Below are 23,565 nucleotides of genomic sequence, written 5' to 3'. Positions count from 1 at the left end.
ACATGGTGGCGTGCGCTTGTAGTCCCAGCTACTCAGGAAGCTGAGGCAGGAGAACTGTTTGAACCTAGGAGGTGGAGGTTGCGGTGAGCTGAGATCGCACCACTGCACTCCAACCTGGCGACAGAGCAAGACTCCGTCTCAAAGAAAAAAAAAAAACTCCAGTTTAAGTGGACCTGCATAGTTCAAATCCATGTTGTTCAGGAGTCAACTGTACTGTAGTCTATTAAGGGTGCCATAGCATTATGTTTAAAAAAAAATCTATATACATTAATTCAAAAATACTTTATTGCTAAAAAATGCTAATGATCATCTGAACCTTTAGGGAGTCATAATCTTTTTGCTTCTGGAAGGTATTGCCTGGATATTAATGACTGCTGACAGATCAGGATCTGACAGATTGAGATGGCAGTGGCAGTTTTTTGAAAGACAACAGTGAAGTTTGCCCCATTGATTGTTTCTTTCATGAAAGAGTTCTCTATAGCATGTGATACAGTTTTACCCTACAGTAGAACTTCTTTCAGAATTGGAGTTAGTCCTCTAAAACCCTGTTGCTGCTGCATTATCAACTAAGTTTATGTAGTAGTATAAATATTACGTTGTCATTTCAACAATGTTCACAGCCAAGAATAGAGTCTATCTCAAGAAACCACTTTTGCCAGGTGCCATGGCTTGTGCCTGTAATCCCAGCACTTTTGGGAGGCCGAAGCAGGCGGATCACAAGGTCAGCAGTTCGAGACCAGCCTGGCCAATACGGTGAAACCCTGTCTCTACTAAAAATACAAAAATTAGCTGGGCATGGTGGCAGTTGCCTGTAATCCCAGCTACTCGGGAGGCTTAGGCCGAGTAGCAATTCAAGAATTGCTTGAACCCAGGAGGTGAAGGTTGCAGTGAGCCTGGATCACGCCATTGCACTCTAGCCTGGGCGACAGAGGGAGACTCTGACTCAAAAAAAAAAAAAACACTGTATATGGTCATCCATAAGAAGCAACTCATCCATTCAAGTTTGATCATGAGATTATAGTGGTTCAGTCACATCTTCAGGCTCTCTACTTCTAATTGTAGTTCTCTTGCTATCACCACATCTGCAGTGATTTCTTGTCCTGAAGTCTTGAACCCCTTGGAGTCATCCATGAAGGTTGGAATCAACTTCTCCCAAACTCATATTAATGTTTCTATTTTGACCTCCTCCCATGAATCATGCATGTTCTTAGTGTCATCTACAATGGCACATCCTTTCCAGAAAGTTTTTAATTTACTTTGCCCAGATCCATCAGAGGAATCACTATCTATGGCAGCTAAAGCCTTACAAAATACATTTTTTAAATATTAAGACTTGAAAGTCAAAATTAGTCCTTGATCCATAGGCTGCAGAGTGGATATTGTGTTGGCAGCTATGAAAACATTAATCCCCTTGTACATCTCCATCAGAGCTCTTGGGTGACAAGGCCATTGTTAATGAGCAGTAATATTTTTGAAAGAATCTTTTTTTTCTGAGCAGTAGGTCTCTACAGTGGCCTTAAAATATTCAGTAAAACATGCAGTAAACAGATGTGCTGTCATCCAGGCTTTGTTGTTTCATTTATAGAGCACTGATAGAGTAGTAATTCTTAAGGATTGTAGGATTTTCAGAATGGTCAAATAAGCATTGGCTTCAGCATCAAGTCATCAGCTGCATTAACCCCCAACAAGAGAGTCAGCCTGTTCTTTGAAGCTTTGAAGCCAGACATTGACTTCTCTCTAGCTATGAAAGTTCTGGATGGCATATTCTTCTAATATAAGGCTGTCTTGTTTAATTTGAAAATCTGTTGTTTAAGGTAACCACCTTCATCAGTTATCTTAGATCTTCTGCATAACTTGTTGCAGTTTGTATATCAGTACTTGGCTGCCTCACCTTGCACTTTTGTGTTATGGAGACAGCTTCTACTCTTAACCCTCATGAACCAGTTTTCTGCTTCAAACTTTTCTTCTGCAGCTTCCTCACGTCTCTCACATCATAGAATTGAAAAGAGTTGGAATTTGCTCTGGATTAGGCTTTGGCTTAAGGAAATGTTGCAACTAGTTTGATCTTCTATCCAGACCATTAAAACTTCCTCTGTATCAGCAATAAGGCTGTTTTGCATTTTTATCTGTTATGGATATTCACTGGAGTAGCACTTTTAATTTCCTTTATGAACTTTTCCTTTACATTCACCACTTAGCTAACTGTCTGGTACCATAGGCCTAGCTTTTGGCCTGTTGTAGCTGTTTATAGGCCTTTCTCACTAAGCTTAATCATTTCTAGCTTTGGATTTAAAATGAGAGATGTGTGACTCTTCCTTTCAGTTGAACACTAAGAGGCCATTTTTTGCCTAATTTAAATATTATAATGTTTCTAGAAGTAAGAAGTCCTGAGAAGAAGGAGAAAGATAGGGGAGATCCCACACTGGGGAGTGGTGGATCGGTGAAGCTGTCAGAGAACATACATCATTTCTTGATTTAGTACACATTGAATATCACAGATCACCATAATAGATTTAATAATAATGAAAAAGTTTGAGATACAAAAAAAATTACCAAAATGTGACACAGACACAAAATAAGTGTGTGCTGTTGGGAAAATGATGCTGATAGCCTTGCTTAGTGCAAAATTGCCACAGATCTTCAATATGTAAAAAGTGCAATATTTGCGAACCACAATAAAATGAGGTATACCTGCATTGAATTTCCATTAGAAGTTTCTTTATGCTGTCTGGTTTCTAAAAGTTTACATGCACACTAACATTGGAACTTGAAATACCATATTTTACTGTAGTCCTTAGCAGAATTCCAGGGAATATTTCTAGATTAAGTGCAATATATGATTACATATTTGAAAATCTTAAATCTGGTATTGACATATGCTCTTACACATTTCAGGAAGACAAACTTTTGCTTGAGAGCCAGCTCATCCTAGCTACAGCTGAACCACTCTGTCTTGATCCTTCTATAGCAGTCACCTGCACTGCAAACAGACTGCTCTATAACAAGCAAAAGATGAACACTCGCCCAATGAAACGGTAATTGCCTTTGTGGAAGGGTGAACCAAAAGACACAAGTAGCTATAAATTTTGCTATTTATAGTATCTTTTCCCTCCAGGGTATGGTTGCTCCGATTTTGGTGGGGAAGGGTAGAGATGAGGTCTCTCTTTGTTGCCCAGGCTAGTCTCAAACTCTTGGCCTCAAGTGATCCTCCCACTTTGGCTTCCCAAACAGCTGGGAATATAAGCATGACCAACTGCACCAGCCTCTGATTTTTTTTTTTCTTTTTGAAAATAGGATTCTTAATGGTCTCATATTATATATTTTTATATAGTATTATTATTTTTTTAAATGCTCTATGCTTTAGATTGAACTGTTGCATTTTCTGCAGTCTTTTAAAGAATAAACTTTTTCTAAGTTTATAGTCTGTTTGCCAAAAAGGTAAAGAGGCTGAGATCAAATATGAACAGAAAGAATAATTTTTTCATTATTTTCCTACTAATGAATGACTGATTTAATTGTTGTTAATCCTACTTTAAGGAAAGAATTTGTAATTTTGAGATTTGAGAAAATATGATCATAGTTTTTAGAAGTCAGTTATAAACTGAATCCAGGCACACCTACCTTTTGTTTTTGAAACAAACCAAGCTTATTCCTCCCTCGGCATCTTTTAAAAATGTCCCTTCAAATAGTCATTCCCTGATCTTTCAGAATATTTTCTTTTCCCCACCCTCCATGGGAAACATGAGGGGATTTTTCCCCGGTAGTCACTGTGAGAACCTCTTTGAGCTCCTGGAGATAAAACCCCCAAAAGTCTGGGGGCTCCCAGTGACTAGGTCCCCTTGGAGTTTTGAATCTCTCAGACATGTCCACAGTAGGCCTCCAGCAATTCATCAGTTATACTTGAGGTTCCCTACCCTGGCACTGGTTCCTGAGGAGGTTTCTGCTAATGGGTTTCTGCTTCAGCAAGGCATGATGGTCTGCATTTGCCTATTGGTTTCTCCAAGTTTGGGGCAGTGGTTTGTCTTGTGACCACATCTCTTTGATGGATCTAAGAAGAATCGTTGATTTTTCTGTTTATTCAGCTTTTTACCTGTTAGGATGAGGTGGCAACTTCCGGAGTCTTACATGCCTGTACCCAAAACTGGAAGTTATCCCCTTCACTCCCATCTTTCCATAGCTAATTCCTTCTCATCATTCCTATCTCAGCTCACATGTCATTTTTTCAGACTCTTTTCCTCCCCTCCCTCTCCCCATTCCTTCCCTAATGTTGCCCTCCTTATCCCATACTCTCCACAGTACTCTTTTGCTTCTCTTACTGCTTCTTGGTGTCTGAAATCTGAAATTATTTTATCTGTTTACTTGTGAATGTCTCCTCCCCCTCTGGACTTGATAGCTCTGTGGTGATGGGAATTTTGTTTGTCCTATTCATTTTTATTTCACCTAGTCCTAGTTCCTAGGACTGTGCTTGGCATGTGGCAGTGTTCTATAAACACGATTTGTACATATTCAGCACTGACTAGTTTCAACTCACATATATTATGAGTTTCTTTTATTAGTGCCGTTTAGTTCAAATTTCTTAATATTTCAGGTGTTTCAAGAGGTATTCCAGATCCTCTCTGAATCGGCAGCAAGATCTATCTCATTGTCCACCTCCTCCTCAGCTGAGGTTACTTGATTTCTTACAAAAAAGAAAGGAAAGAAAAGCAGGTCAGCATTATGACCTCAAAATTTCTAAGGCAGGAAATGTAAGTATATATATTTTAAATGAAGCTTATTATGCCCAAAAGCCTGTCTTATTTAGCATTTTCAGTATATTTATATTGTTTTTAATTTTTCAGTATATTGTTTTTAATTTTTCAGTGTGTAGATATGTGGAAACGGAGTCCCTGTAATTTGGCCATACCTTCTGAAGTAGATGTAAGTCAGTTCATGAATTACTTTTTTTCATATAAAGTTTCTCAGTTTTACTATTCGGTTGCTTATACCTTGAGAAAACAAAAAAAAAACTTACTTTAAAAACAAAGTGATTTAGATCATACTCTAAACAAGTTTTTTAAAAACAATATGATTTATTTCAAAAAACATCGAAAAATGATTTTTAGAAGCTGTGTATTGTTCTTTTTTCACATTAAGTTGAAAGAACATAACCCCTTAATATAGTTTTTTGGAGCAGGAATAGTAAAACAATTTTAAAATTGGAAAAATACAGTGTATATTACATAATCACGTGAAATCTCTCTTTTTTTGATAATATTTCATCAAAATTTCCTAATAGTGCTTGTTTACTCAAACTGGTTAAATTTGAAGATTAATAATATTATTTGACATAAAATAAAATAAAGATTAATAATACTAGAGAAGTAACCAAGATTAGGAACATTGGGTTGTATTCTTTATTGATCCATAATATACATGAACTATAAATGGTTGAAGACAAAAAAGGGATATTTTGATGAGTGATCCTATGTTTTTCTTTCTCCTCTGTTGTTTTTTATATTCACTCAACTCTTTATTTTCAGATTTGTTCTTCTGTTGCACCCTTTCCATGCTAGCACATGCATTATTCTTACTATTTCTGATTTAAAAAAAAGAAATTACGCAAAGCACAAAGCCAGAAGCAGCAGTAGACTGTATATACAGCTCAAGGAAGTAAGCCATATTATCTTTTGGTAGCTTATGTGCAGTTCTTCAAGGAACATGGCCTGATAATAGAATTTCAGTGTAAATACTGAAGGGTGGAATTTAGCTTTGGAGGACAAGCTGGAGTACTTCCCAAACTTTAATGTCCTTACGAATCAGCTGGAGAGCTTGTTAAATTGTAGGTTGCTACTCAGCAAGTCTGAGGTGCTAAGATGCATTTCTCACAAGCTCCTAGGTTATGTGATGCTGGGGTCCATGGACCACACATTGAGTAGCAGTTGCCCTCAAAGCTTCTCAGTCTAGCTCAATCAGAAGAATCACCTAGGATATCAGTTAAACATAGAGATTTCAAGCCCTACTCAAAATCTACTTACTTAGGATTTCTAAGGGACAGACATGAAAATCTGTATTTTTAATAGGTGCTCCAGGTAAGTCTAAATTACTCTTAAGATCGTGGTTGCCTGTAAGATAATAACATTTGACTCACACAGATGCCTAGGACATGTACAGAATATATGGTCAAGTCTGACTAGAAAGTGGAAAACGTTCAAAAAATTTGATCAGCTTTAATATTTTACCTTCCCTAGTCTCCCTCAGTTTTGTCCCCACTGTTACATGACCGCTTTTATTTCAAGAAAAGCCTGCCAAAAGGAAAAGATCTTTATCCTTATCTCTCTGACATTCCAATTTTCCTGAAGGAAAAGCTCTAAAGGAAAAACATATCAGCTTATGGACAAAAAAATGAAGAGGCACTGTCTAGAAAAGCAGCTGTGTTTATTAACACTTATTTATTTGGTTTGGTTTTATTAAAGTTGTTTTATACACATCAGAAGACTTTTAAACTGCTTAAGCATAAGTAGTTGATACCGGTAATTTAAGAATTCTTGCGCTAACAAGTATATTGTATTGTCGAGTTACTTAGTTTCTTCTCTTTGATCAGAATACTGATTCCATTTTATCTGATATGGATTCTATTTTATGTGGTATTTCTTGATTTGATTGTTTAGGTGGAGAAATATGCTAAAGTGGAAAAGTCTATCAAATCTGATGACTCACAGCCAACAGTCTGGCCAGCCCATGTAAGAAATCATTGCCTGTCTCTGTTTCTAATTATGCCATTTCTAATCTGGCCTCTGAATTTATTAAACATAAAGTGCAATTGCCATTAGTTTGGGACCTTTTTTCTTTTTTAAATTAGTTTCTGCGAGTTCAGTTTATTACAAGAAGAAACAACTATTTTGTTTATCAGAGTATGCTTTGCATTTTAAACAGCAATTTTTTATTTTTATTTTTTATTTTTATTTTATTTTAATTTTTTGAGATGGAGTTTGGCTCTTATCGCCCAGGCTGGAGGTGGGATCTTGGCTCACTGCAACCTCTTCCACTTCCCAGGTCCAAGCAATTCTCCTGCCTCAGCCTCCTGAGTAGCTAGGATTACAGGCACCTGCCACCACACCTGGCTAATTTTTGTATTTTTAGTAGAGACAGGGTTTCGCCATGTTGGCCAGGCTGGTCTCGAACTCCCGATCTCAGGTGATCCGCCCACCTTGGCCTCCCAAAGTACTGGGATTACAGGCATGAGCCACTGCGCCCAGCCTTAAAGAGCAATTTTAATGAAGAACTTCATTTTTACTTTTGGTTTGCGTATTGGTAGTTCTGATTTGTTTTGTTTCTAATTAATAAATTCTTCTAAGGCTGGCTTTTAACAGAAGTGTTCTTTATAAGTTTTCCTAATTGCAATAATAACGTCTTAAAAAGAGAGGAATAGGTGTAATATTTAAATTAGGTGAACTCTGGGAGTGAAATGATGACAGATGTTTTTTGTGTGTGATAGCAAAAGCAGACAAATGATAAATAGATCTGCTTTTGAAAGTTTTATCCTTTTAATATTATTTAATATTTGCAATTCATATATCTAGTATGAAATTCTGCCATATTAAGCTTGATTAAACATGCCATTTAAACTCTCATTCCCAGAGTACCATGTAAAAAAGAATCCTGTACTGCCCTCCTGAGCATAAACAGGCACGGCAGCATGAGGATCAGGGGTGCAAGCTTAGGGACAGACTGCTAACTCCCTGTGTGACCCTAGGCAATTCATTTAACCTCTCTTTGCTTAATTCCCTGACTTCTAATACGGAGGTAATAACAGTGCCAACCATGAAAATATGGTGGAGCTTTCAGTCCCTGTAGAGTGCTGAGAACAGTGTTTGATTAATGTTCATTGTTATTATATGTATATCAATATGTCTAATAATGTATTTAATGATGTATTAATATTGTTACATATGTGTTCATACTTCATAGTATATGTTAATGCTTTACTAAATGCATGCTGAGTGCCCATATAGTTTTTAGGAAAAGAACCGTGCTGTGCTTTATTCTCATAGGCAGACTTAAATATCTTTGTAGCCTAAGTGCTGTGTGTCTTCCTATCGTCAGATACATGTTACTGTATCATTTATTCCTGATTTTTACTAATTCTTATTGCCTGCCTACTTGTGAAGGTATTTATTTGAGGTGCTATGCATTTTTCAGGATGTAAAAGATGATTATGTATTTGAATGTGAAGCTGGTACTCAGTATCAGAAAACAAAGCTGACCATCTTGCAGTCGCTTGGAGATCCACTTTACTATGGTAAAATACAGCCATGTAAAGCAGATGAAGAAAGTGACAGCCAGATGTCTCCATCACAGTGAGTTCTGTTAAATACAAGTAACTGGAAAAAAAAAAATAAGGCACCAAGAATTTATCTAGTAACTACTGATGAACCATTAATGAATAAAAATTTCTCTTTGGGAACTCACTTATTAGTTAAATATAACAATTAGATTTGGCGGTAGACCTAAGTAAACTTAAGTCGTAGTTACCATGTTGCTCAAGAGTTATTAAAAATAAAAAAACCTATGGTATAATTATTTTTATGCTTGTTTTGAAGGCTATTCCTGTGATATCCTTCTTTATATGTTTATGGCACTTAGGACTTTAACCTTTGAACATGAAGTGTTTGGGCAATAGTGTGTTTAAATAGGAAGCAAGTTTACTATAAATGTGAAAAGATGCTTGGTATTTTGGCACTGCATGTAAGGACACAGACTCAATGCTTATTGTAGTTATTGGCCCTACATATTAATACATAAAAATATAGATGATCTTCCAAAATGTATGAACTACATATATTTGGTACTGTCAGTATTTAGTTTTATTTTGTTTTACTATTTATTTGGTTTTTTTAATCAAATTGATTTGAAAAATAAGTTTTCTGTTTTGAAAACAAAAAAGAAGCTCAGCAGAAAAGGATGGGGGCGAGGTCTATGTTAATTGTAAAGCCTTTACTTACACAAAATACTAATTGAAACTACAGTAGAAAGGTGGATTTTAAAGAGCAACCCCACCAATATTTAGGTAAAAGTCAATGAAAGGAAATAACAGGGAATCCTCAGCTTGTTTTTTCACATGACCAGTTTTTATTATTGTAAAAGGATCAGATATTTTGATAACATACATTTTCTTCTTTTTTTTTTAAGTTATAGACATCACAACAGTTTATTTCTGAATCCTCAGCATGCATTTCTAAGGAAGCCATTTTTTTTCTTTATTTTTATTTTAGATATAGGGGTATGTGTGCAGGTTTGTTACAGGGGTATATTTATGATGCTAAGGTGTGGGTGTCTGCTGATCCCATCACCCAGGTAGTGAATATAGTACCCAATATTGATTACTTATATTTAAAAAAATCTTTTCACTTAAAGACAACATACATTGGCCATTTTTAATTTATTAACTTATTTTTGTAGAACACAAGGGTGATACATGTTCTTTTGTGAAAAAATTGGTCTATAGAGCCAAATGACTAATTTGTTTGACAGGAAGAGAATTGAATTTTTTACCTTTGCATCAGAGTAGCTGCATGATTTATTATCTTCCAGTCATTCTTCCATATTCATAAAATACTTTATTTAATAAACTATGAAGTTAAAGTTTGAGCTGCATTAACTAAGCTTTTTTTTACATTTTATATTTCAGCTCGTCCACAGATGATCATTCAAATTGGTAATTAAAAAATAAACTATTTTAATCTGTTAAGAAATTACATAAATATCAAACTCTTTAAAAAGACTTGCTAAATATACTTTATTTGAATCAGTGATAAATATGTATACTTTGTTTGAAATATATTCTAAGGATCTGTTATGTAGACATTAATAGTAACTTCTAAAATTGCAGGTTAAAGTGAGAGGAAGGCCAAAGACCTTTGCACATGTTAGTTCAGTGATTTTGCTTTAGGATCAATAGTTGTAAGGGTATATAGCACTTGGTAACTTTCAGCCCAGATTATGTTTTAATAAATAAATTTTGTGCCAAAAGAAATATCACTTAATTAAATCAACCAAATTATTCACATTGTTTCATAATGCATGCAAAACTTAGTCATTGTTTCATATGTTTAAATGCATTAAAAAAATTTTTTTCATATCTTGGTAGATTTAATACCAGTTTATATTACTGTGACTAAAACATGGAAGATTCAAAAGTAATCCCAAGCCTTCTTAAGACAACTCTTACCTAATACTTTTCTCTCCTTTTTTTTCCTTAAACATTTTAGGTTCATTATTGGATCAAAGACCGATGCTGAGAGGTAAAAATATTTGCATCTCTTATTTTGGTCAGGATGGATATGAAAAATTTTTCACCCTTATAGGATAGAGAATACTAGGAGTTAAAAACTTTGATTTTGGTTATGCTGTTAACCATATTTACACTGTTTAATATTTATGGGTCTCTGTTGTAAAATTAGGGCATTGGACAATAAAACCTCTAAGGTCCTTTCCAACTTTAAAATCTTACTGATTCTAGAAAAATATCTGTAAGCTTGTGATACACCAAACTACTAAGAATGGTTCTTTTCATGGGATGAGATTTTTGGGGGACTTAAATGCATTTTTCCAAAGTTTATAATACCTAGGTTTTTTTTCATAGAATTAAGAAAACAAAAGAAATGTTTAAAATATAGTTTTGTTTTAAATAAGAAAACTTAGACATATCTACTGTAGCTAAGGAAGATGATTTCTAGATAGTACTTTAATCAGAATCTAAGAAAGGAATTGAGTATTTTCTTTGGCTGCTTATTACTTAAGTAATCCCTGTAATTTCTGTATTAGAAATAAGATATTGAAAGTATATCTTTAGATTGTTATTTAGCACAATGTTTTGGACAATTTGTCATTGAACAGTTTAAAAATATGTACTTTTAATACAAAGATAAATTGCCTAATTTTTAATATTTATGTTAATTTTGATAGAACTTTCTTTTTGCCATTAATAGTCATTATTCTTTCCTATAAAATAAATTTGTGTTTAAAACAGGTTTTCTAATCTTTACCTGTTTTCTCCTGATATTTTAGGGTAGTCAATCAGTACCAAGAATTAGTCCAGAATGAAGCCAAATGTCCGGTCAAGATGTCACACAGCTCCAGTGGCTCAGCCAGTCTGAGTCAGGTTTCTCCAGGGAAAGAAACAGATGTGTGTTTCATTAATGTTACTTCTTTGTGCCCAGTTGTTTCACAAGTAATCTGAGAAATGTTAAGAATCATTTTTGGAGGCTAGGCACAGTGGCTCATGCCTGTAATCCCAACACTTTGGGAGGCCAAGGTGGGTGGATCACCTGAGGTCGGGAGTTCGAGACCAGCCTGACCAATAGTGTGAAACCCCATCTCTACTAAAAACACAAAAATTAGCTGGGCATGGTGGCACACACCTGTAATCCCAGCCACTCGGGAGGCTGAGACAGGAGAATCTCTTGAACCCCGGAGGTGGAGGTTTCAGTGAGCCGAGATAGCGCCACTGCACTCCAGCCTGGGCAACAGAGCAAGACTCCATCTCAAAAAAAAAAAAGAATCATTTTTTGAGGAGCGGGGGTACAGTTTAGTTTTGTTTCTACTTTTACCTTTTTTTAAAATTATTTAACTCTTTATAACATGATTTTTAAATGTACACAAAGATAAAAGGAAAATTACAGTGAACACCTGTGTTCTAGTCATTTGGCTTCAACAGCTGTTATTTTCCTTTAATAGATAAGTATGGAAGAGTGGAAGCTTGCTTTCATCTTACTCCTCTGCCTTTCTCCCTAAAACTCTCTCTTCCCACCCTATTACTCAGAAATCTTTTCCTCATTCTTTATGTGTACTGTAATATATTTCATGAATCTCATGTGAAATTTTCTCTGTAATACATATAGTATTCAATCTGTAACCACTAAGAGCACTTTGCAGAGTTAAAAATCTGGGATTTATAGCAGTATTAATTTTATTTAATAAACTATGAAGTTAAATATAAATATCATCTGGGGTTTATAGCAGTATTAATTTTAACAAGTAAGCTTAATGTCATTGTCTTTTAGCAAACTGAAACCGTGTCAGTTCAGTCTTCGGTATTGGGGAAGGGTGTAAAACATCGACCCCCACCAATCAAACTTCCCTCAAGCTCAGGAAATAGTTCCTCAGGTATTACATTTCTTAGTTTTTTGCAGTCTAGAATAACAAATATTATATAATCATAATCTCTTTTTAAAACTTTGCCCCATTTTGATTTCTACAGTTCACAGAAGTTTGAATTATAAATTTAGGAAATAACTTTTATGTTCTTCTAGGTAACTATTTTACACCACAACAGACAAGCAGCTTTCTCAAATCTCCAACTCCTCCTCCTTCTTCTAAGCCATCAAGTATTCCTCGGAAATCATCTGTGGATCTCAATCAAGTTAGCATGCTTTCTCCAGCTGCCCTATCACCTGCCAGCTCATCACAAAGTGAGTCATAACTTAAATTCTTCATTAAATCTTCATAAGCTTTTGCATTAGTGTTTCTTAAGACAGCTTTTTTCAACCTGTGAAGTAGTGATATCTGAATGTACTGTGTACCCAAAATGTATAAGTTGCTAGAAGCTTCAGGCAGAGCTCTTGTTGATTGTATGTATTATGTCTCTATTGTAATTGTACTTGTTTTTCTGTATCTGTGTATACATTCTGCGTGTACCTTTCTTATAGGCTTACAACCTACACATCTCCTTAAAAAAATAACCTGGTAGTTACATGTGGCAATAAGATTTCAAAATATTTTTTATTCCAGTGTACCCTAGGATCATTTTGCATATTTATGTAAATTGTGTGGCTGATATGAAAAAAATGTCATAAGAGTTGTTGCTGCAGGTCCTATCTTTGTGTATATGTAAGAAGTCAACTAGTTCCAAGGTGGTGATACAATAAACTGAAAAACAATATTTCAAAAACACTCCTACACTCTTTTATAAATTGTTGTCAGTTACTAAAATGTGATGATAATCATAAAGCATTATTCTGAAGATACTGAAATGTAATTTTTACTACTGAATACTTTTTTTTAACATCAAGAAGAGTTATACAAGAATGCTAGCATTAGTTTGGGAGAATTTCTTCAAATTAGTAAATATCTGAAAGTACCAATTTGGGGAAAAAAGTCATTCCAGTTTTTTAGATTTTTTATAGATAGCTAATATATGCTGAAAGTTTTAGTACACTGCACAGTGATAGGGTGGTCTTCGCATTAGATATAAACATCTTCATCTCGATAGCTCAAAAGGTGTAATTTTTCTGCCTTCTTGTTTTGCACAAAGAAAAATATATAAATTTTCTGAAAGTCTTATTCACACTTCTTATGTTGTGGGTATGGATTATGGTAATCTACTGCACACAGTTGTTACTTTAAGTAAGGGTTGAGTGACAGCTTCTGGACATTCACATTTCTTTCCTTTCTTTCTGCAGGACATGAAAGCTAAAAAAGAAAACACCTCAAGAGCTTTTGGTTTTACTTTTTTGGTTTTTGTTTTTTGTTTTTGTTTTTTAAAAAATTGATAAACTGTGCATACTTCATTCACAACAGATTTTCTATACATTCTACATTTAAACAGAAGTACACAGTTACTGTTAAAGATGCAGTATTATCTCTCAGATATTTGCTTTATTACTGTTTTTTGTAAATTTGTTTGTCAGGATAAACTTGATGTGTTAGGAATTAAACATGTATATTTAGGTGCCAAATATGATTGTTAACCATATGTAACTTATTAAATATGTTTACAGTTTATCTCAGACTTTTACACTAAATAAGCAATATTTTTAAATGAAGTCTTGAATTAGTGAAATCGTAAATAACAAATTAATTTGAATTCGTTTTGAACTTTTTAGGCCAAAGGCAGCATGTAGGAAACTAACTTTTAAATGGGTATTGTGGTAGAATATAACTGTATATTTTTACTGTTACTGCAATAGCATCTTTAATGGGATTTTTAGGTGATATACTGCATCCTTAATTGTAATTGAGTGTAGCAACACTCATGTATCATGTGTAGAAATTAACACTTGCAGTTAACTGCTAAAAAAAAAAAAACTAGAACAAATTGTCAGTGCTAAGTAAGATTCCATTAACCTTATTTTAAAAGGACTGGCCATTTATAACAAACTAGCAATTTTTATTTTTCTCAATGAGCAGGATCTGGAACTCCTAAGCCATCTACTCCTACACCAACCCCTTCATCGACCCCACACCCTCCTGATGCTCAGAGCTCAACTCCTAGTACCCCTTCAGCCACCCCTACTCCCCAAGATTCAGGCTTCACCCCTCAGCCCACTTTGTTAACTCAGTTTGCTCAGCAGCAAAGGTCTCTGAGCCAGGCAATGCCTGTAACAACCATTCCTCTTTCCACCATGGTAACATCTATAACTCCAGGAACCACGGCCACCCAGGTCATGGCAAACTCTGCTGGACTTAACTTCATCAATGTAGTGGGCTCTGTTTGGTAAGTTTGCATTGATGTTCGGATTTTTTTTTTATAAAGATAGTTTCACCAATCTAAATAAATTCTTAATGTGTGAAATTAAGAACAAACCGCATATTACTCAGACTGAAAAGGAATAGTTTAGATATGGACAGAAGCTGCCTGACCATGTATGTTTTAATTTTAAATAATACATCTGTTAACTGCACTAAGATGATATCTCATCTTATCGTTTTTGTTTTTTGATACTTCATCTTGACAGCAGCTTAGAATTTCCTATTTATCTTCTGCATTACTTTCTTTGATATTTAAGACAGATAAATAACTAGTTGTGTTTGCTTAGTAGTTTTGTTTTTTAATCTGAGGAATTGTGTGGCTGATTTTTTCCTTTTACAGTGAAGTTTAATGCTTTGTCTTATTCTCCTGCAGTGGGGCCCAGGCTTTGATGAGTGGTTCAAACCCCATGCTGGGCTGTAACACTGGTGCCATAACTCCTGCAGGAATAAACCTGAGCGGCCTTCTACCCTCAGGAGGTCTGCTACCAAATGCACTGCCCAGTGCAATGCAGGCAGCTTCTCAAGCAGGTCAGAATGTTGGAAATAATAACCTCTAAAAAAAATTAAAGTATATGCTAAAGTAAAAATGTAATTTTAAGAGTAATGCTAAAGGCATTTAATGTCATTATTTCATGAAGTGTTGTATCACATATATTTCACTTAAAAAGCCTTTAAAAGTTCTGGCATTTGAATTAAAAGTCTTCTAGCAGTCAACTTCTGTGGAAAACTTGGTAAGCCTGTGAGTCTGTGCAAATCTTTCTTCTGCTTTCCAAATAACAAAATTAATTTTGGTAGCCTTATTGTCATTGTAGTTATATTCCAGGGAAAATAAGTGTATTTTGAAAATATACATTGTGTACAAGAGGCAACTGCATCGCAGTTAAGAGCCTGGATTCTGGAGCCAGACTACCTCAGCTTGAATCCCAGTTGTACAGCTTACCATTTGTGTCATCTTGAGAAAGTTACCTTTGTGTTTAATTTTCCTCATAAATAAAATGGGAATAGCAATAAAAACTTACCTCATAGTCGTGAGGATTAAATGAAATATAATACAAATTATGTGTTTAAACTGTGCCTGAGACATGATAAGCATTCTTTTATTTAGGAGTAGTTATTACCTATACAGGAAAACAGTTATAATAACTTGTGCTTATTTTTTTGATGCTCTTTAAAATAATGTATTATAATATCTTGAAACGATTCAGTTTCACTTGAAGAAAAATGTAATAGGAAAAACAATCTAGAAAAATTTATTAAAAACTTTCTTAGTTATGAGAAAGAGAACCTAGAGAATATAATTAAACATGCTAACATGTTGCTGTAATTTCCTAATTCTAGCTAGTGTTCTTATTTTAATAAGCATAAGTGTGCCTTAGTGCGAGAAGTCCTGGAAATGGACTTCACATCTTGAACTTAGGATATTTACATGTAACTACTAGTTGTACCAGTTACATGTGGCTTCAGTTGCTAAACTGGGGTTCTACAGAAGTCACTAAATTTTTCCCCCTTATCCTCAGTTCAGTTTGCTCTAAAGTGGGAATAAAAATATCTCCAGTTGGTACTTAAGAGAACTAAATGAAGTATGAAAGTGCCTTTGGTAAGCTAGAAAGCATTATACAGATGTCATCCACTTTTAAAAGGGGGTTAAGCCATTTTCTTAAATGAGAATTTTTCCAGAAAGGGATATTTTTGCCAAATTTCAGTTTCTTATACAAGGCTTCGCTAGTGTTACATGTGCATTTCTTCCCTTAAATCTTTAAAAAAAAAAAATGATATGATAGAGAACTAGATACATTTTTAAATAGTGTTCAAATTAGTATATTTTGTTAGCAAAATATATACATACCTTGAGACCAGGATCAACAAACTACAGCACACAGCCTAAGCTAGAAATGGTTACTACATTTTTATAGGATTATGAAAAGAAAATGCAGCAGAGGCCATTTGTGCTCACAAAGCCCACATGATGGCCCTTTATTGAAAACGTTTGTCACCCCCAGCTTTAAGATATGCTCTGTGTTAATGTAACAGATTTTTTAGGAATAAGTTTAAATTAACAGAGCACTGTTTCCTGACTCTGTTTTGATCTTTATACACAAATTGCAACATTCTTTAGCATTCTGATTAACATTTTTAGTTAAAAAAAAATAGCATAAAGCACACCGGTTCTTAGAGATATGATTATTATAGTATACTATGTAGCATTGAGAAATGTAAATAGATGCCAATACCTGGAATGTATTTGCACAGCAGTGATAGTTTTGTTATATTCATGGTGTTCACATAATTCTTGATTACTCTTTGTTCAGCCAACAGTCAGAAGAATGAAAAAGAAGTCCCAGTTTCTGAAATATAGAATATAATGTGCATCTGGTGCTTCACAACTTTGAATAAAATCTCAGTATTGATAAATATTGAAGACAATCTTTTGTTTTTAAGATATTTTTGAAGTATGGAAAATAAGCACATCTATGCAGAGAATACATAAAATTATTGTACTTATATATACTAAAGTATAAATTATTTTCATGTGTAATAAACTTTCAATTCTGTTATAACCATGAGTTTTATTTAACAGGTGTTCCATTTGGTTTAAAAAATACTTCAAGTCTCAGGCCCTTAAATCTACTCCAGGTAAACCTGAAATACTGCTTTTGATTAAATTTTTTGTACATTGACTTTTTTTCTAAACAATGTATATCTATATGTATCAGCACTTGAAATTCTGAGGTCTGTTTAGATTCTTCTAAGGGTGTGGTTATTATTGCTACCTTTGTATGATCAAGCGGATAAAGAGAAAGAATCAGTATCCTATATACCACACTTTGGCTCCAGTAGCCCTGCCTAATTAAGAACTAGCTGTGCTAGTGGGGAGAATTTGCACCTACCAAGGAGGATACTTCCCTACAATAATAATAGTGGATGTATTTAGAAAATAATTGCTTTCCCAACAGATGTTTTATGTATACATATATGTAATACTGGTTTTTTTTTGTGCTTGAAGGAGATTTAAAAAATAGGTATGTGGGCCGTACATGGTTGCTCACACCTAGAATCCCACCACTTTGGGAGACCCAGGTGGGTGGATTGCTTGAGCTCAGGAGTTCGAGACCAGCCTGAGCAATATGGTAAAACCCCATCACTACAAAAAGTTAGCCAAGCGTGGTAGCATGCACCTGTAATCCCTGCTACTCAAGAGGCTGAGGTCGGAGGATCACTTGAGCCCAGGAAGTCGAGGCTGCAGTGAGCTGACATTGTGCCACTGCATTCCAGCCTAGGCAACAGAGTAAGATCCTGCCTCAAAAGAAAAACAAGGGGGGTGAATTTACAACATTCCTCGTGTTATGCTAGGTCCTCTAATTTAAAGAAGGAGTAAGCTTTAAGCTAGTAGTTTGGAAAATGGATAGACGTGACTATAAAGATCTGGATATGTAACATAGTAGAGCTATGGATTGATGGGAAATAACAATAACAGATCAGCCACCCTGGTATTCAGGATTAACAAATCGGGAAATTCTCATTAGAGCTAAAATTTAAAACTTGTTTCCTATATACGATGCAGTATGTTTACAGACTAATTGCAGAACAATATACTTATAATATGGGCAAGCCCACAAATTGCATTTGTTTATTTAGCCTACCTTCCGGCATATTGCTTTTGAAATTTTCTTAGGGATCAGTCTCAGTGTTAACAGGAATGGAAATCCTTTAGTTTGTTATATTTTTCTACATTTACTGTATACTGATTGAGGAAGGAACATTTGATCTGTGCTGTGTCTAGATTTACCTAATGATGAGCTGTGATGGATATAGATAGATACTTTGACCCAAGGATTTTTTATTTTTTTTTTATTATTATTTTTTTGACTATACAGACCTAAGAGTTCTGTATTTGGTATTGTCTTGGACATTCTCCTAAGGACCTCAAAGTGGTCCGTATATAAACCCCTATAGCTTAAAATGGAAAAACTGTTTGTTTTTTGGTGCATTTGAAAAGCATTGTTTTCCCTTTTAACCTGGAGTTTTCTGAGTGCTTCTTTAAAAATTGTTTTTTAATTTGGATTAAATTCAAATTAGATTTGAATGAAAGAGAAAGTAGTGGTCTACAGAATAAATATGGACATCTAAATGCACTTTCTTTTCAGCTTTGAAATTCCTCACTGTGTTATACAAAAGATCTTGTATAATATTTGTGTTTTTGGCAAAACTAGAACAAATTTATGAGGGGTGGCTTTTCGTAGTATACATTTCTGATTCATAAGCTGCTTGTTTGTACTTTCTAATGTATTTAGTGCTCTTTTGTATTGATGTATAAAAAGAGTGAAATGAAAAATAGCATGTGAATTGGAATAGCTAACTACTAGCTTGAAGCAGAAAAATTTATGTTTAAGAGTATTAGCATACTTGGGAGCCCAAAGTAATAGGACTTAAAAACAGTTTCTAAATAGGTCTTTTTTTTAAGGGCAGCCAACTTGTTTTTTCTTTACCTGTTTCTTCAATAACTAGAAGAGTGACACATAGCAAATGATCCAAAAATATTTGTAGAATAAATTTAAATATTTGATATAAAATCATGTGAAATTGGTTAATTTTTGTTTAAATTCTTAATAGCTTCCAGGTGGTTCACTTATTTTTAACACTCTGCAGCAGCAGCAACAGCAGCTCTCCCAGTTTACACCACAACAACCTCAGCAGCCCACAACTTGTAGTCCTCAACAGCCAGGGGAGCAGGTATGGATTTTCTAGCCTTCCATATGCTTTTACATCGAATTTATAACATTTTTTGGTATATTCCAAGCATACTTCATTTGCTTTGTTAGTGTAAACATTTCCTGTACTGTTTTTATTAACAATAGTAGCAATCAGCTATTGGGTGTGTATTCCTAATAAAACAGTCATACCATACTGAATAGATGGTATCACCTGCATCTTGCATAGATGATTGAGATCCAGATAAATGGCTTGCTCTTAGCCATACAGTGAGTGGCAGAGCCAGAGATTCAAACCTAGGTCTTTGTGCCCCTATCACTCATGTATTTTCTACCCCATCATTATCTTTCTGTTTTTAGGATTTTGTTGCTATTGGAATAAAGATATCCCTATTATCATAAAATGTAGGGCAGTGGGAACACAGACAAAAACAAATGTGTACACTGCCAAAGGGAAAGAAATTGAATAAGAATTGCAATAAATGACAGTAGAAGAAGGAAGTACAAGTGTTTCTAAACTTTGGGTACACTGGAGTCATCTGGGAAATTAAAAAAATATTGATTCCTGAGTCCCAAATCCAGAGTTTCTCTATCTCACAAATTATATGAAATATTCACCATTAGTCCTTTTGCCCAGTTTCCCCCAGTCAGGTCTTGGTTGGATAAAGCTCATCCTCTAATAGAGTCCTCAGGAAGGGCACATTAAAAACTTACTGTTTTTTCATTCTAAACACATTAAAGATTGCTTGGCTAGATATAAAATCTTTGATTTTCTTTTAAAAAAATTAATTTTAAGGTACACATAAAATTTACCATTTTAACTTTTTTTTTTTTTTTGAGACAGAGTCTCGCGCTGTTGCCCAGGCTGGAGTGCAATGGCACAATCTTGGCTCACTGCAACCTCCACCTCCTGGGTTGAAGCGATTCTCCTGCCTCAGCCTCCCGAGTAGCTGTCGCTACAGACATGTGCCACCACGCCCGACTAATTTTTTTTTTGTATTTTTAGTAGAGACGGAGTTTCACCATGTTAGGATAGTCTTGATCTCCTGACCTCGTGATCCGCCCACCTCAGCCTCCCAGACTGCTGGGATTACAGGCATGAGCCACCGTGCCTGGCCAAAACTTACCATTTTAACTTCTTAAGTGTGCAATTCAGCAGTGTTAAGTGTATTCACATTGTTATGCAACAGATTTCTATTATAGAACTTTTTCATCTTGCAAAACTGAAACTATATCTGGTAAATAACAACTCCTCCCCTCGGCCACTATTCTACTTTATGTTAGTATGAGTTTGACTATTCAAGATACCTCATATAAGTGCAGTTATATAGTTATTTGTCCTTTTGTGTTTGACTTATGTCACTTGGCATAAAGTCTTCAAGGGTCATTCATTTTATAGCATGTGTCAGAATCACCTTCCTTTTTCATGGTGAATAATACTTGTATATACCATATTTTGTTTATCCATTCATCCACTGATGGATACTTGGGTATCTTCCACCTTTCGGCTATTGTAAATAATGCTAGTGTGAGTGTGAGTGTACAATTATCTCTTTGAGACCCTGTCTTCAACTCTTCTGGATATATACCCAGAAGTTGGATTGCTGGTTCATGTGGTAATTTTTAATTTTTTAAGAAGCATCATACTGTTTTCCATAGTGGCTGTACCATTTTACCTAATTCCCATCAACAACATACAGAGATCTCGATTTGTCCAAATCCTCGCCAACTCTTGTTATTTTCTGGTGGTGGTTGGGTCTTTAGGGAATTTTTTTTTTTTTTTTTTAAGCAGCCTTCCTAATGGGTGTGAGGTGATAATCCCATTGTGGTTTTGATTGGCATTTCCTTAATGACTAGTGGTGTGGAGCATCTTTTCATATGCATGTTGGCCATTTGTGTACCATCTTTGGAGAAAAGTCTGTTTGGGTCCCTTGCCCATTTTTTTTTTTTCAGATTAATTTTTGTTGTTGAATTGTAGGAGTTCTTCATTCTTCATATACACATATATCAGATGTTTGATTTCCAGATATTTTCTCCCATTTGTTGTCTTTTCACTCTTGATTGCATCCATTGCACAGAAGTTTTTTTTTTTTTTATTTTAATGTAGTTCATTTTCTCTTTTTACTTTTCTTGCCTGTGCTTTTGGTATCATATTGAAGATCATTGCCAAATCCAATGTCCTGAAGCATTTTCACTTGTTTTCTTATAAATGTTCTCTAGTTTTAGGTCTCCTTTAAATTTATTAAGAACTCTTCCTACTGTTGACTTGCTTTATATGTTTTTGAGAAATCTGATGCCAGTCTAATTATCTTGCTCTTGTAAGTTTATTTAAGCAGTTTGCCTAGAGGCCCTGAATGCTTGTCTAATATTTTCACTGGTGTGTGTGTCAGAATTGATTTTTCCATGTTTTTCCTGTGGATCCTTTTAATGTGTAGAGTCACTTCTTTATTTCTGGAATGTTTTCTTGGATGATAGTTTGTAGTTTCGTAAGTGGAAGCTTAGATTATTGTGTTGAGGTCATTCTTTTCTAAAATAAACAATTAATGTTACACATTTCCTTCTCAGTACTGCTTAAGCCACTTTCCACAAATTTTGATATGCTGTGCCTTCATTTTGTTCCACAGAATTTTCTTATGGATTCCTCTTAAATCAGTTATTTAGATATGTTTGATTTCCAAATACTTGGGAATTTTCCAAATATCTTTCTGCAGTTGATTTCTAGTTTAAATCCACTGTGATCTGAAAACATATTTTTGGTTCTTTTAAGTTTGTTGAGGTTTGTTTAATGCTTGAGAACGTGATCTGTCTTGATGAATACTCCATATATGGCTGAAAAAATGTATATTCTGCTGTTAGGAGTGTTCCATATTAGATCAAGGTATTTGATGGCATCATTCAGGTCTTCTATATCCTTTTCTTTCTGTATGTTTTATCAGTTACTGAGAGAAGTGTTGAAGTCTTCAACCAAAACTGAAAATTTCTATTTTTCCTTTTGCTAAAGGTTGTTTTTTGAGCCCATATTGTTAGGTGCATATACATTTAGGATTGTTATTTCCTTGATTAATTTACCCCTTATCATTAATAAATGACCTTCTTTATCTCTGGTAATATTTCTTGTTTCTTTCTTTTGATTAACGTTAGCTTAGTACGTCTTTTTTCATCCTTTTAGTTTTAGCCTGAGTCCTTTTATTTCTTAGTATTTGTTTTCTTCTTCAAGATGTTTGTTTAATCATTATTCCTCCTTGTTTGAATATTCCATTTGTGGTGGTGGCTTATAGTCTACATTAGGTTTGTGGAGTGCTTTGGGGGGAAATTGATATCACCTGTAGTTTTTTTGCATTTTGAGTTTTTTTGTTTGTTTTATCATAGCTCCGTTATGGTGGTGATGTGGTCTGCCTTATTCTGTTGTTCATTTCATGAACTGGGTTCCAAATTCAATAATGTGTCCTCCTTTCAGCTCTGTGCTCTTTTGTCCAATCTTTTATATCCAGGGAGATCCCCTCAAGATAAATGTAACTTTTGAAATGTTTGGCTTGCAATTATATACTGAAATGTTACTTCAGACACTATTTTAGGTGGTACCAAAGGATGTCTTTTGCAGAGCAAAAGTTTTTAATTTTGCTGAAGTCCAAGTTAACAGTATCTTTTCTTTATGGAATATCCTCTAGTTTTCATGTCTCGGAACTCTTTACCTAGCTCTAGGTCCCAAAGATTTTCTCCTGTGTTTTTTTTCTAACAGTTTTATAGTTTCTTATTTTGAATCCATGATCCATTTTCAGTTAATTTTTGTACAAGATGTGCAACTTAGGTCCGTGTTTTGTTTTTGTTTGTTTTTGTTTTCCTATCAGTATCCAATTGTTTCAATACCATTTGTTGAAAAAAAAGAAAACAACAACAAAGAAAAAAAACAGCTATTCTTTCTGAATTGAATTACTTCTGCACATTTGTTAAAAGTCAGTTGGGTCTATTTGAGTGGGTCTATTTCTAGGTTCCCTGTTCTGTTTCATTAATCTATGTGTCTCTCCTTCAGCCAATACCACACTGTCTTGTTCATTGTAGTGTCTTAAAATTGGGCAGTGTTTTCTCCCATACCATTTTTCAAAATTGTTGTAGCTAATGTAGGTTCTCTACCTTTCCATATACATTTTAAAGTCATCTTGTCTATATCTACAAAAACCTTGCCAGCATTTCTAAAAGAATTGAGTTAAACTTGTTGATCAGTTTGGGGGAAGAACTGCCATCTTTATGATGTGAGTCTTCCAGTACATGAACATAGTATATGTCCTTATCTAGACCAAAGTCAATGTTTTGTAGTTTTTGGTATACAAGCCCTGTATATGTTTTCTTA

General features: G+C 34.7%; 1 protein-coding gene across 52 annotated transcripts in view; it reads left to right on the top strand.

The window, feature by feature from the left end:
• SUPT20H (SPT20 homolog, SAGA complex component) overlaps window positions 1-23,565 on the top strand; it is a 50,377-nt gene that overhangs the window by 23,205 nt on the left and 3,607 nt on the right. For 14 of the 52 annotated variants that reach the window (XM_017020659.2, XM_017020655.2, XM_017020658.2 and 11 more), the window contains 14 exons: window positions 2,896-3,035; window positions 4,589-4,745; window positions 4,861-4,917; window positions 6,648-6,719; window positions 8,179-8,336; window positions 9,668-9,694; window positions 10,248-10,280; window positions 11,047-11,164; window positions 12,042-12,144; window positions 12,291-12,449; window positions 14,404-14,473; window positions 14,882-15,036; window positions 17,087-17,142; window positions 19,120-19,239. In XM_017020659.2, the coding sequence (XP_016876148.1) occupies window positions 2,896-3,035; window positions 4,589-4,745; window positions 4,861-4,917; window positions 6,648-6,719; window positions 8,179-8,336; window positions 9,668-9,694; window positions 10,248-10,280; window positions 11,047-11,164; window positions 12,042-12,144; window positions 12,291-12,449; window positions 14,404-14,473; window positions 14,882-15,036; window positions 17,087-17,142; window positions 19,120-19,239 (1,425 nt within the window). Of the gene's footprint in view, window positions 1-2,895; window positions 3,036-4,588; window positions 4,746-4,860; window positions 4,918-6,647; window positions 6,720-8,178; window positions 8,337-9,667; window positions 9,695-10,247; window positions 10,281-11,046; window positions 11,165-12,041; window positions 12,145-12,290; window positions 12,450-13,439; window positions 13,762-14,166; window positions 14,474-14,881; window positions 15,037-17,086; window positions 17,143-19,119; window positions 19,240-23,565 lie in introns of those variants that run through there. The other 38 variants (XM_047430451.1, XM_005266457.5, XM_047430450.1 and 35 more) reach the window with 5 other exon arrangements.

Source organism: Homo sapiens, chromosome 13, assembly GCF_000001405.40.
Source record: "Homo sapiens chromosome 13, GRCh38.p14 Primary Assembly".
Lineage (NCBI taxonomy): Eukaryota > Metazoa > Chordata > Mammalia > Primates > Hominidae > Homo > Homo sapiens.
The sequence above is the reverse complement of the archived record's forward strand: the minus strand, read 5'-3'. Positions and strand labels throughout refer to the sequence as shown.